At 36.1% G+C, this 13816-nt stretch overlaps 1 protein-coding gene across 16 annotated transcripts in view, besides 2 other annotated features; it reads left to right on the forward strand.

The window, feature by feature from the left end:
• PPARG (peroxisome proliferator activated receptor gamma) overlaps positions 1–13816 on the forward strand; it is a 146977-nt gene that overhangs the window by 95707 nt on the left and 37454 nt on the right. For all 16 annotated transcript variants that reach the window (NM_001354666.3, NM_138712.5, NM_005037.7 and 13 more), the window contains one exon: positions 9540–9678. In NM_001354666.3, the coding sequence (NP_001341595.2) occupies positions 9540–9678 (139 nt within the window). The remainder of the gene's footprint in view (positions 1–9539; positions 9679–13816) is intronic.
• Positions 12394–12443: an enhancer, noted in NCBI's record as "active region_19439". NCBI's record gives its function as "activates an Ori minimal core promoter by ATAC-STARR-seq in GM12878 lymphoblastoid cells {active_cell/tissue: GM12878}" and the evidence as "EXISTENCE:reporter gene assay evidence [ECO:0000049][PMID:35858748]".
• Positions 12494–12623: an enhancer, noted in NCBI's record as "active region_19440". NCBI's record gives its function as "activates an Ori minimal core promoter by ATAC-STARR-seq in GM12878 lymphoblastoid cells {active_cell/tissue: GM12878}" and the evidence as "EXISTENCE:reporter gene assay evidence [ECO:0000049][PMID:35858748]".

The raw sequence follows: 13816 nt of genomic DNA on the forward strand, positions 1-13816 counted from the left end.
TACAGTGAAAAGGGACAAACCAGAGGTCAGCTCTGCCACTTTCCAAAGTCATTAGCCAGTCACATACACATTGTATCCTTCATCAGGCCCCCCATATGTAAAATGACTTGGTTAGATTGGCTACACAAGGTCTTATTCATCTCTAAGTTCTGTAATTTCAAAATGACACTTTGAAACACTCTGGCAAGAGATGCTTTCATTTAAAACACTAAAACCCGTTCGTTCTGTAATTTAAACCAAGTTAAAATATTTATGACCTTATATGAAATCATTGTATTAAGTCAGTTATCTAAGATCTTGATGAGTAGTAAGAACATGTCATTTTATTGACTTAGATTTTTTATTGAATGTTTTGTGGTTTTATTGAGTTTTATTTTAGATTTAATGAGTTAGAGTTTATTTTTACTGAGTTGGATACCATTTTTGAGTGAGTAAACTGTTGCTAAATTCTGAGCCATATTTATCTGAAGAAACCATTCTGTTTTGGTCATGTTGATAATTTACAACTATAAATAAATAAAAACAGCATGGTTGGTTTAAGGTTCCACAATAAGTTATTGTTTTTTATGGGCTAGTAAAGCACTTAGAAAACTAAAACTTTTAAGCAAATAGTTCCACCATAATCCTATTAGTCACAAATTTGTGGAAAGCTAACATTACTGAAAACAGCTGAAAATGGAAAGACAAGAACATTGTCAGTAGTTGGTTATAGTGATAAATCTGAGTTCTGAGGGCACTAAAACTTAAAAGCAAGCAGGGAAGAAGAGTAGCAAAAAGAGAAGAGAGAGGAGGAAATCCAAGTGCCTTCAACTTAGGATTAGAAAGGGTAGAAAGCAGGGAGGGAGAAAAAATACTTAATAAAACCTGAAGACTCTAGGGGAGTCCTTAACCTATCATAGATTAAAAAGCAAACATAGAAGAAAACTAAGCGTATTGTATACTAACCTGCAGTAATTTGCAAACCATCCAAAATGTGGATTCCAGAATTCCTAGACTAAAATGTAAGGAAGGTTTTACTCCCTTGGAAAGGGAAAATAGACATCTACACGTTTTAAAGGTAAGAATAAGAAAAATATTATTCTTGGAAAATTTAAACATTTAGTAATATACTACTTAATATAAAGAAAATATGTGAATCCACTTATATTTTGATATGCAGTCTTTCAAAATAATTTTAATATACTCAATGAATAAAATAGCATTTATTGTATACTGATTGCACAGAATAAATTTTTCATAAATATTTACCTTATAAAATAAACCCTGCTTCGGCTGGGGTTTTTATTCGGCGTAAAGATATAGAACAGCAGTTAGGAAAGAATTAGGACATCTTGATTCCTAAATGGATGATGGGTCGAAAAAGGAAACTTTTTTTGAATTCTTATTCTGATTTTTATTGAATTCTTAGTATGTACCAGATACTATGTGAGGTACATTTGCATATATCATTATTTAACCACATCCTACTCAGGTTTTCTCATCTAGAAAATGATTCAGATGATATTGGTAGGATGTGGTTACATAATGAAACATTATCATTTGGCTTCTTCAAGTATACATCAGCAGTTCCCAAAGTGTGGTCTGGGGCTTGGACCCTTTCAAGGCATCCATGAAGTTGAAACTATATTCATAATAATGATTTTTATTACTTTTTTCACTTTCATTCTCTCAGGAGTGTATGTGGAGTGTTCTGGAAGCTACATGATGTAGGATGATGACATAGCTCTGGTAGCTAATGGAATGTTTGCTTATGTGTTCTTGTATATAATAATTTCTCAGTTGTAATTTCTAGTGTGATAAATGTCAGTAAAGATAGCCCACATAAACAAAATCTCTTTGGGGTCTTCTATAATTTTAAAAAGAGTAAAGGGATCTTGCAACCATAAAGCCTTCAGTCTCATTCTGAAGAAATGCAGTTACTCATTCTTTGCTACTTTGAAACTAGACAAAATTGCTGCCACATTCTGAATACTGCTGCATTAGACCAGTGGCTGTCAGTAAAGACATCTCCTTAGCTTATAACCAATACGCAATAAAAAGCCAGGAAAATGGAATTAGCAAATGTGTTTAACTCATCTGCATGTATTTTCTGAGAGGTGTTTTGGAAGCTTCACATTTGCTGTTGTAGTAAAATGTGGGTTATATTCATAATTAAAATACAGTTGACCACAAAGCTGCAGGCTTATCTATGGATTGAAAAGAATAAACACAGCATAAAACAACTTTTGGTAGATCTTCCTAAACAATTTTACAATGTAAATGGAACAGGTTTATATTAGTGATTCTTGCCAAAAATTCAGTCAGACAGATGAGAATGAGTAGATTGGGTTTGAATTAAGGTGAAATAGTTACAGATTCTTGGGTATGTTAATATTGCAAACTTATGTAAAATAAAACCTTTAGCAACTGAAAGATATATATAATTTAGAGCTTGGAAAGCTATCATTTATTTGTTGTTTACATGTTGGAGATATATTTTTTTCTTTGGTAAGTTCCATCCTATTTTTTATCTTTAGTGAAAGATCATTTTGGAACCATAGCCGTACCTAAAGATATAAGTAAATACAGTCTACCATACAATACAATGTAATCTAAGTTTGTATTTCTGTATACAAAAGAATGCCGTATGCTTGTTAGCCACTTGTATGTCTATTCATCCCTACTTCAGAAAGAGTTTTAATTCTTCTCACCTGCCAGTCGTAGCTTATTAATCCAACTTCCAGGGGCCAGACTGCTTCATGGGAAAGCCAACTGCAAGCCCAGCACAGGGCTGTTAATTTCATTGTAAAATCAACAACACCATTCTGAGGTCTCATTGTCCCTGATGTTTTGTTAAAATTAAAGCAATTAAGGAGAGATCAAAGAAAATTTTTCAAATGATATGAAAAATTTGTCTGTTACTTTCTAGCAGACAAATGTGCAGACATTAGAATAAATATATACACAAAACAATTTTCTCAGATGGTGACTGATGCATCTCTAACACACCACATCACAGACTTCCTGATCATCAGAAGAGTAAGTTGTTGAAAATACATTGTTCTATGGACTCTAAAATAATAAAAAAGTGTTATTAGAGTGTTTCTTCATCAGTAATATGAAGAAAATTTGGAGAAGCCAGCCTTGTTCTGTAAATCGATAAATAATTTTACAGAAAAGCACTCGATAATATCCTTACATCTTCCTCTCTAGATTCCTTGAGTCACATAACAAGAAAACACTTGGTTATCATGAACTCGGTGTAAAAAAAGTAAAAGCAAGTTCCAAGATGCATGCTAGGATCTGTGTATTCAGTTCAAGATTTTATTTACATATACAGTGTATAATGTTCAGAATGATTATTCATTGAAAGACCTTGGATCATCACAAAAAATGTGATACACTTTTGAAAGTCATCAGCTGAGTCATGTCAGAAATTTCCATTATAAGAGTTAAACTTAATTCTCTTTTTTTTTTTTTGAACATGTGTCAAAGATTTATTTAAAACCCATTAACGAGGGAAAAGCAGGATGGTAAATCTAGTTCAAAGAAGAACTTGAAGGACCAAGAATATATAGTCACTGAAAGAAAGAATCCTGAGATAAGATTCAGAATGGTTAATGTTCTACAGGGCAATAAAACCATAACCTTGAGGTTATCTTTTCTTTTTTTTATTATTCTTATACTTTAAGTTCTAGGGTACATGTGCACAACGTGCAGGTTTGTTACATAGTTACACATGTGTCATGTTGATTTGCTGAACCCATCAACTTGTCATTTACATTAGGTATTTCTCCTAATGCTATCCCTCCCCCAACCCTCCACCCCCTGATAGGCCCCACTGTGTGATGTTCCCCGCCCTGTGTCCATGCATTCTCATTGTTCCACTCCCACCTGTGAGTGAGAACGTGCAGTGTTTGGTTTTCTGTCCTTGTGATAGTTTGCTTAGGATGATGGTTTCCAGCTCCATCCATGCCCCTGCAAAGGATATGGACTCATCCTTTTTTATGGCTGCATAGTATTCTATGATGTATATGTGCCACATTTTCTTAATCCAGTCAATCATTGATGGACATTTGGGTCAGTTCCAAGTCTCTGCTGTTGTGAATAGTGCCATAATAAACATATGTGTGCATGTGTCTTTATAGTAGCATGACTTATAATCCTTTGGATATATACCCAGTAATGGGATTGCTGGGTCAAATGGTATTTCTAGTTCTAGATCCTTGAGGAATTGCCACACTGTCTTCCACAATGGTTGAACTAATTTACACTTCCACCAACAGTGTAAAAGCATTCCTATTTCTCCACATCCTCTCCAGCGTCTGTTTTTTTCCTGACTTTTTAATGATCATCATTCTAAGTGGCGTGAGATGGTATCTCATTATGGTTTTGATTTGCATTTCTCTGATGGCCAGTGATGATGAGCATTTTTTCATATGTCTGTTGGCTGCATAAATGTCTTCTTTTGAGAAGTGTCTGTTCATATCCCTTACCCACTTTTTGATGGGGTTGTTTTTTTCTTGTAAATTTGTTTAAGTTCTTTGTAGATTCTGGATATTAGCCCTTTGTCAGATGGGTAGATTGCAAAAATTTTCTCCCATTCTGTAGGTTGCCTGTTCACTCTGATGATAGTTTCTTTTGCTGTGCAGAAACTCTTTAGTTTAATTAGATCCCATTTGTCAATTTTGGCTTTTGTTGCTATTGCTTTTGGTGTTTTAGACATGAAGTCTTTGCCCATGCCTATATCCTGAATGGTATTGCCTAGGTTTTCTTCTAGGGTTTTTGTGGTGTTAGGTCTTACATTTAAGTCTTTAATCCATCTTGAGTTAATTTTGTATATGGTGTAAGGAAGGGATCAATAATTCTCTTATCAAAAAAACCTTCCTCTCCTAGCCATGCCAAATAACTGAGCGCTCTGTGAGCCATCCAGCTGTCAGCTAGCCAAGTAGCATTTTCACCCACTAATATTAGTCTTTAAAAAGCAAGAATCAAAAGAGAAGTCAAGGAATATCATAAAATATCTATGATCACAATGGCAAACATCAGGATTTTCACCAACATTTATCAATGAGAACAGTTCTATACATTAGCATTCTGTTCATCTGTGAAAAAAAAACTTTTTGATATCTGAAGGTCCTCAGAACCCTTTGAGAATTAAAGAGACTTCAACTGCCAGCAAATTCTACATCGGGCATATTCTTTAAGACATTGCTGATCTCACAAGAGGTAGTGAAAACTCTCCAAAACAACATCAATGAAACAAAATGAAACAAACATACCCTCAGTTCCAAGCTGTGAGCTGCAGGCACACTTAGCAGGTCAGGGTTTTCCCCATGATAGATGCCCAGAGAGGTACAGTGGTGAGCATTGCCCCAAAGGCAGATGGCTGTAGCAGTTTTCTGAGCAATAAGTGAGAAGGAGCTAAGTGTAGGGCTTCTGAATTAAGCCAGGATTCTCAATAGTGTCTGAAATAGTCATAAGTCAGTAACACCCCTGGCTACTGAATTCCTAATTCAGACTTTGTAGGAGTCCCCCAGTTTAAGGTCAAGAAACTAGTTCCAAATAATATCAGCAAGCATGTGAGAAGCTAACCATCTTGAATGACATTCATCATCAACAAGAAAACTGATACAGACTCCCTGCTCTTCCCCTACCTGGGGAAAGCAGAAATTGGGATTGCCTGATACAGAATATAAAAAAGCTATTATGAATTATTTAAAGGAAGAGGGCATAGGCTTGCAACAATAAACTATTAGGAATAACCAGGATGATTTGAAAACCAAGTGAAAAAAAGGTGAAGCTTCTAAAAGTTAAAAGTATAATTATTGAAATAAAAATTCAGTGGAAGGGTTAGATAGCTTACTGGACACAGCAGAAGAAAAACCTGAAACTGAAAGAGATATGCAAAGAAATTACCAGAATGAAAGCAACAGTGTCTTAAAGAATATGCCCTATCCAGGATCTGCTGGAATTTGAAGGCTTTTAGTTCTTGAAGGATTCATAGGATCTTTGAATATTAAAGAGGTATGTCTTCTTCACTGATCAATGGAAGAGTAAAGTGCAGAACTGTTCTCACTAATGAACTTTAGTGAGAAATGTTTGTTTTTACTTTTGCCAGTGTAATTATATATTTTCATGTTATTTTGCTTCTGTTCTGATTTTTACTTTGGCAATCAATATTAGTGAGTAAGTAGTGAGAAGAAGATGGAAAATAAAAAAGAGGCATTCAGAAATGTGAAGGCTAGAATAAGAAAGTCTAGTACTTATCTAACTGGAGTCCAGTACTGATGAACATGTGAAGCCGTAATGCATAAACAACATATCCAAGAAGGTAAATGAAAAGAAATTCATGCCCAAACACACTGCGGTTAAACTGCCGAATACTAAAGACAAATAGAGAGTATAAAAGCAACCAAAGAGAAAAGGTAGATCACCTTAGAAGTAAATTGACAAGAGACTTCTCAACAGCAAAATGGAAGCAGAAGGATAATGGAATTCAAAGTGTTAAGAGAAAATGACTGAGTACTTGGTAATCTCTCAAGAATGAGAGTGAGCCAGGCGTAGTGGCACATGTGTGTAATCTCAGGCCTTTGGGAGGCCAAGGTGGGTGGATCACTTGAGGCTGGGAGTTCAAGACCAGCCTGGCCAACTTGGTGAAAACCCATCTCTACCAAAAATACAACAAAAAAAAAGAGCCAGGTATGGTGGTGCATGCCTATAATCCCAGCTACCCAGAAGGCTGAGGCCCAAGAATCGCTTGAACCTGAGAGGTGAAGGTTGCAGTGAGCCGAGATAGCACCACTGCACTCCAGCCTGAGCAAGAGAGCGAGACTCTGTCTCAAAACAAAAAACAAACAAAACAAAAAGAGTGAAATGAAATATCTATTGGTTGAATAAACAAAAATACTGAAAAAGTACATTTCAAGGATAGTAAGCCAGAGAAGATATTTGAACATCTGTAACAGACAACAGATTAATATCTAGCATATTTTTTAAAAAAGTCTAAAATTCAGTTTTAAGGAAAAGACAGTTAGAAACTGGGAAGTGAAAAGCCAGGGACATACAAATCAAGATTTAAATTCAATTTTATACATTTCAGATTGTCAAAATTAAGAAGTCTGACAGCACCAAATGTGGAAGAGACTACAATTTTCATAAAGCGCTTGTGGGGAGTGTACATTGGTAGCCACTTTGGAAAACAATTTGGCATTATCTTGTAAAATTTTAATACTCACACATTGTACAACCCAGAAATGCCACTTAAACATATTTACAGGAATATTTAGAGAAACTCTTCTCATAATAGCAAAAAATTGATATTTCAAACGTCCATCTGCATACAAATAGGTTAATAAATTATAGTATAGTCATACAATGGAATACTATATAATTATGAAAATGAGTAAATCATAGTCTTTCACTAACAAGAACTTAAATGTTAGAAACCTCATACCAAATTTTAATAGTGTCCCAGAAAACTACATATAGTATAATACCATTTAATAAAGCCTCCAAACAAGCAAAATTAAATAGTATATTATTTTGTTTTACATAGTATGTGATAAAGCTGTATTTTCTTCCTTTTTTTTTTTTTTTTTTTTTGAGACAATGTCTCACTCTGTCACCCAGACTGGAGTGCAGTGGTGCAATCATAACTTGGCTTACTGCAGTTAGACCTCCTGGGCTCATGTGATCCTTCCATCTCAGCCGCCAGAGTAGTAGCTGTGACTACAGGCGCATGCCACCACACCTGCCTAAATTTTTTGTATTTTTTTATAGAGACAAGGTTTCACCTTGTTGCCCAGGCTAGTCTCGAACTCCTGGACTCAAGCGATCAATCCGCCTCAGTCTGTCAAAGTGTTGGGATTACAGGTGTGAGCCACCACACCCAGCCTATATTTTCTTAAAGATCAAGGAAATGACAAACCCAAAATTGAGAATAATGATTACTTTGTCAAACCTATCGCCTTTGTAACATCTCAGTCACAATTGGGAATCACAAACTACCAGAGATGGAAGTGCTTTCTCATTTTATAGTTGAAAAAGGTGAGGCCCAGAAAGGAAGTTACGTGACATCTGTATTAATTCCACAAATTTTAATTTAGCACTATCATAGGCATTTGGATTCCATCCAGGGGTATAAGAGACTATTCCTGCCGCTGAGGAACTTATAATTTTAATTGAGCAGTGAGGGAGGGGCAGAAAATAAACACTAAAACAATAATAAGTAAATTCTGTGGTGTGTTAGAAAGTCATAAGTGCTATTGGAAAGGAGAAAAACTGGAGCAGAGTAAAGAAGATCAAGAGTTCCAGAAGAGAGGTGGGGCAGGGACAGGCCACAGTATTAAATAGGTTGGCTTAGCCCCATTGAGAAGGTGAGATGCAAAACTTGAAGGCGATGAAGGAAATAGGCAAGTGTGTATTTAGAGAAAGCTTTCTTCTTGAGGAAAGAAAGAAGTCAAGAGTGATTTCAAGGATTTTGGCTTGAGAAACTGGAAGGATGGCGTTGCGTCTGCTGAGATGGAGAAAGCCGCAAGTGAAGTGAGTTTGTAGGGGAGGGTCAGGACTTCAATTTGGACAGGCTGGCTTAGAGATGGCTATTAATTATTTAAATGAAGCTGTCAAGTAATCAGAACATACTCATCCAGAGTTCTAAATGGACGTTTGGAGAAAGTCAAAATGCATGTCAATGACCAAAGCAATACTAATGCAGTGCTTTTTGCACCAAACAGGGCCAGATACATTTGAAAGAATTAGCAATTAAGTTTTATGAAGATGAACACAATAGAAATGAATAGGAATATGATGAACCCAAAAAATGGAGTCAGAAAACACGTCCAGTTCGATTTTTTTCAGCTCTTTCCAAAGATGTAAATATAGCAGAATATTCAGTTGGCCTCAAATTGACATATTTGCCATTTTGAGATAGCAGTCGATTTTGTGAGGATTTATCTGATTACTTCTCATGTTATTCCCATAGTCTCTTTCTGTCTGTAAGCCACAACAATGATGGGGCACACTTTAAACAACATAAATAAGTGAAACAAATTCTGCAGGAAATTATGCAACATAGAGAATTCCAAAAAAATTATCCACATGTGGATTTTTATTGGCCCTGATCATGTTTTAGAATGAAATGATTATAACTTTGCCAGGCTGCTTAGCACAATTACAAAGGCTGGGGCATGCTGTTGGAATGATTTGCAGAGAGACTTAACTGATTACACGGTGTTTTATTTGCATTACATTAAATCCAGAGCACTTCTTAGAGCATGCCGAAAACCAAATGTAGAGCCAAGATCCAATGAAAGCCGCAGCTGGATGTGGTCAGTGTCTAAGAGCTAAAAAAGGGACCTGGAGATCCTCTGGTTCTTTATTTTATAGCAGAGAACATTTAGTTCCAGAGAGGTTAAGTGACTTGTCTAAAGTCACCAGTGACAGAATCGTGTCAAGAACCTGCCTTTTCTGATTCCCAGGCCAGTATACCTTTCGCTGTAGGTTGCTGCTTCCATGTGTCATAAAGACTTAAAATTTGCTTCTTTTTTATCCCTTTGCAGGGTTTCTTCCGGAGAACAATCAGATTGAAGCTTATCTATGACAGATGTGATCTTAACTGTCGGATCCACAAAAAAAGTAGAAATAAATGTCAGTACTGTCGGTTTCAGAAATGCCTTGCAGTGGGGATGTCTCATAATGGTAAGTAAACAGTCATCACCATATACTTTATTATTCTCATTATAGCTGCCAGACCAGTGGACACTAAAGCCATTGCCAAAAATGTGTACAGTTTTTCCACCAAATGCCAGAATTTAGAATATTGCATGGCGATAAAACATTTCTCTTTTAGGTCAGTGTTTTTAAAGTTTTATTATAGAACCTTTCTCTCTGTGGTTGGGCATCTGCCATGAGGAGAAAAGAGACTTGAAAAATCTGGGGGATTATGGGAAAAACTTTAGTGTTAGAACAAATATAATGATCATCATGATTAATTTTTATATTGCCTCATGCATTAAAAACAGAATTAAAATTTACTTTTGTGTATCAGTAGTGTCGTTCTGCTTTAAATGTAAGAAAATCCTGAAGATGTCTGGGTCTGAAACTTTAAATGGCATATGAGAATTTAGATTCATTTAATTTTTTTTTTTTTTTTTTTTTTTTGCTGTTTATTATGCAAAGACGAGTATTCGTTTCCTTCACTTCAAGGAACGTCCATGAGTTGTGGAAAGGGTAAAACAAATTATTTTTATAGTTCTGCAAAACTTCAAAGCCATAGAAACATAAGAGAATAAAACTTTCTACTTTTGAAACCTGTGTCTAAAGTCAAGCTTATGACTTTGGGTGTCAACTTAAGGGAAATGATGTAGAAGACCTGAGAAAAGACCCATGTTTTCATGATCTGTGGAACTAACTCAGTAAGGTCCTGGAAGACAAACGTGTTTGAAAAAATAATTCTTGGTCACTATTTGGTTCTGATTGGTTGCCTGGCTGACAAAATAAATTTTAGGTGTAACTTGATAGTATTATATGTGTCTAGTATTAATCAGTTATTTTCAATGCACTCAAGGAATAAAAAATGCCAACATGATCAAATTAAATTTGAAGTTTCATTTCATCAGCTATCCTATTTTTTCTTTCTTTTGTTTTCATCTCTCTCAAAACTGATCTAGTAAGAAGGCAGTCTTCATCTATATGTACTCTAAAGCATCTGAGAAAATTAAATTTTTGCTCTATCATGCAGATACTTGGTTTTCACAGTGGAAACCATCAAGATATTTGAGAGTCACTCATTGATTAATAACCTACCCTTTAAAAATAGTTCACAAAATTCTATCTGTATGATTACTAATGGGTCAGTTCCTCTAAAGGCAAGAATGTATTTTGAATAGAGCTATCAGCAGTACTGAACAGGATGGAAATTTGGTCCAACTTTCCTCAACAATTGACTACATCTGCTGTATACAACTGTAGTCATGGATTGCAAAATAATTTGCTGGTTCAGTTCCATCAGTTTCCTTTTTATTTCAGACCTCATAAAACATAAGGGCAAGCTTCCAAGTCAAGGGTTGTATTTTAGGTGATGCAATCAAGTTGCAATAAACTTATTTCATCTTCATGAAGAAATCATTGACTTTGAGGTCATTATCACTGAGACAGCCTAGGAAAGCATGCCAGTTCCGCTTTTAACACTAATTTTTGCCTATTAAAAAATTATCACTTCACACATTCATGTAAAATATAATTCCTGTTACTTACAGGCAGTGCATACATTGATGTAAAATATATTTCCTGTTGCTTACAGGCATTGCATACGTTTACTTAAAATCAATCTGCAATTGCTTATTGTTTATAGGCAAATATTATTTAAACCCCAACCTATGTAGTATGGATGGTATAATTTTCTCCTCCCATAAATGTCAAAGAAAGCTATCATAAACTTGATAGGTCATATTTTGACTTCATATGACAATTTATTTTATTTCTAGAGAGGGTCAATCTTGATAGGGAGTGTTTGTTCAGTTCTAGCAAAAGCAAGAAAATATATGAATTAAGTGTCATGACATCAGAGACTTAGGCAGTTCAACACTTAAAAAATTGCAAACATAACTAAGAAAACCTCAGAGGTTTTTATGGGAGTTTGTTTGCTGCACAGAAAATAAACATCAGACTAACAACAAGGTTTTGATTAGTTTTGCCTGTTAGCTGTATGAAGAAAACATTTCTAAATACAAAGTTTTCTAGGAAGTTGAGTCACTATTTAAAATCCATTGCTTTGACCAATGTGAAGCCAACAGGGTTTTCATTCATATAGAATGCCTTTTTATCAAAAGAGGCTCTGAGTGTTATACCAAAATCAGCACCCAGCTGTTTTCAGTATGCGCAAGAAAACATGAACGTCCCCCAAAGCAAATGTACTCCATTCCGTGTTAACCTTATTTCTGCTCCCTGGTCTCTGATTAGTCTGGTTGATGAATGTAGCTTCCCCTTTGGCCATGCACTCACAGCTTTGAAGGAGGCTTCTGAAGGAACTGGTAGGGAACCCTAGGGGCTCTTGCTAATGTTGTTGGATAGTCACTGAAATCAGTGATCACCATGTCCTTTCACTTTGAAAATTCTATGATTCTGTATAATCAAACAACCTAACTCACTGGATTTTTCACTTTTCAACCAGCTATTCCGTGTCTTACAGTGCTCTGGTCTTCACAGATAGGTAGGCACCTGGCATGTCAGTTGCCTGAATTTGAAAGTTTTCACCTGTATGTTTTGGTACGATAAAAATAAAAATGTAATTTATATATCTGAATCAGGTCTGTATGTTATGATCAATTGCTCAGCAATTTCGGGCAGTTGGTTTGATGGTTATGTAGTAATGTAGCCTGAGAGCAGAAATACAGAGCCTCTGGGCTAGAGAAAGTATAAATGGCATCCTAGGCTATGTAGGGTTACAGCTCTTCAGAAGGAACTTTCATTTTCATTGTGACACATCGTCTACATGTTGTAGAAGAACATAGTTTCAGAATTCTTCCAGTTAGAAACATAGTTTCTCAAATATTCACTTTCAGCATTGGGTAGAAAAAGTACCCAGGTGATGGACTGATTGATATGCTTCAGAAATATGTTTTTTCCTGCAAGTAATGAAAATAAACACACGTTCTTAATTATTTTGGTCATTTAACAACCCATCATTTCTGGACCATGGGTTAATTCCACCGATTGCTCAGAAGCCTTCCTGAGTCATCTCAAGCACAATCAATTCACTACTGTGTCTAGACACTGCCCTTAGAGGAAAGCTCAAAATGAAAATGAAGCAGAAATACAGACCCACTTCCTAGGCCACTCAGCGGTGTATGTAACTTACCAAGTGATCATTGCATCAACTACTCTTTGTTAGTGAAGCTGGTGTCTGCAGAATCTTGATAAAAAGACTCATGGATAATGTTGCTTCTTTAGTCAAATGGGCTCTTGCATGCATTTTTATAGATTTTCAAAGTAGTCATTTTTGTTTTAAAATCCTGCTGCCAAGTCCTTTATAGTAATTGCATTTTAAAAATATGTCTTCTTTATTTTTTATTATTATTTTTTTTTGAGATGGAGTCTCGCTCTGTCGCCCAGTCTGGAGTACAATGGTACAATCTTGGCTCACTGCAACCTCCGCCTCCCAGGTTCAAGCAATTCTCCTGCCTTAGCCTCCTGAGTAGCTGGGATTACAGGTGCCCGAAACCATACCCAGCTGATTTTTGTATTTTTAGTAAAGATGGGGCTTCACCATGTTGGCCAAGATGGTCTCGAACTCCTGACCTCAGGTGATCCACCCACCTCAGCCTCCCAAAGTGCTAGGATTACAGGCGTGAGCTACCACACTGGCCTTGTCCTCTTTATTTTTAATAAAATTATTTAGTCATTAAGAATTTTGGCTTGTGGGCCAGGCATGGTGGCTCATGCCTATAATCCCAGCACTTTGGGAGGCCGAGGTCAGAGGACCACTTGAGCTGAGGAGTTCGAGACCAGCCTGGGAAACATGACAAGACTCCATATCTACTAAAACTACAAAAAATTAGTCGGGCGTGATGGCTTGTGCCTGTGGTTTCAGCTACTCGGGAGTCTGGAGTGGGAAGATCGCTTTAGCCCAGGGGGTGGAAGTTGCAGTGAGCCATGATTGCACCACTGCACTCCAGTCTGGGTAACAGAGCAAGACCCAGTCTCAAAAAAAAAAAAAAAAAAAGAATTGTGACTAGTGAATAATTCATATTCAGAGCTCTTTTTAATGTATGAACTAAATAATAAAATAGTAAGTTTAGGCTAAGTGCCCTTTTTATTTTTAAAATTTTCTGTATTT

This window comes from Homo sapiens, chromosome 3 (assembly GCF_000001405.40).
Source record: "Homo sapiens chromosome 3, GRCh38.p14 Primary Assembly".
NCBI lineage: Eukaryota > Metazoa > Chordata > Mammalia > Primates > Hominidae > Homo > Homo sapiens.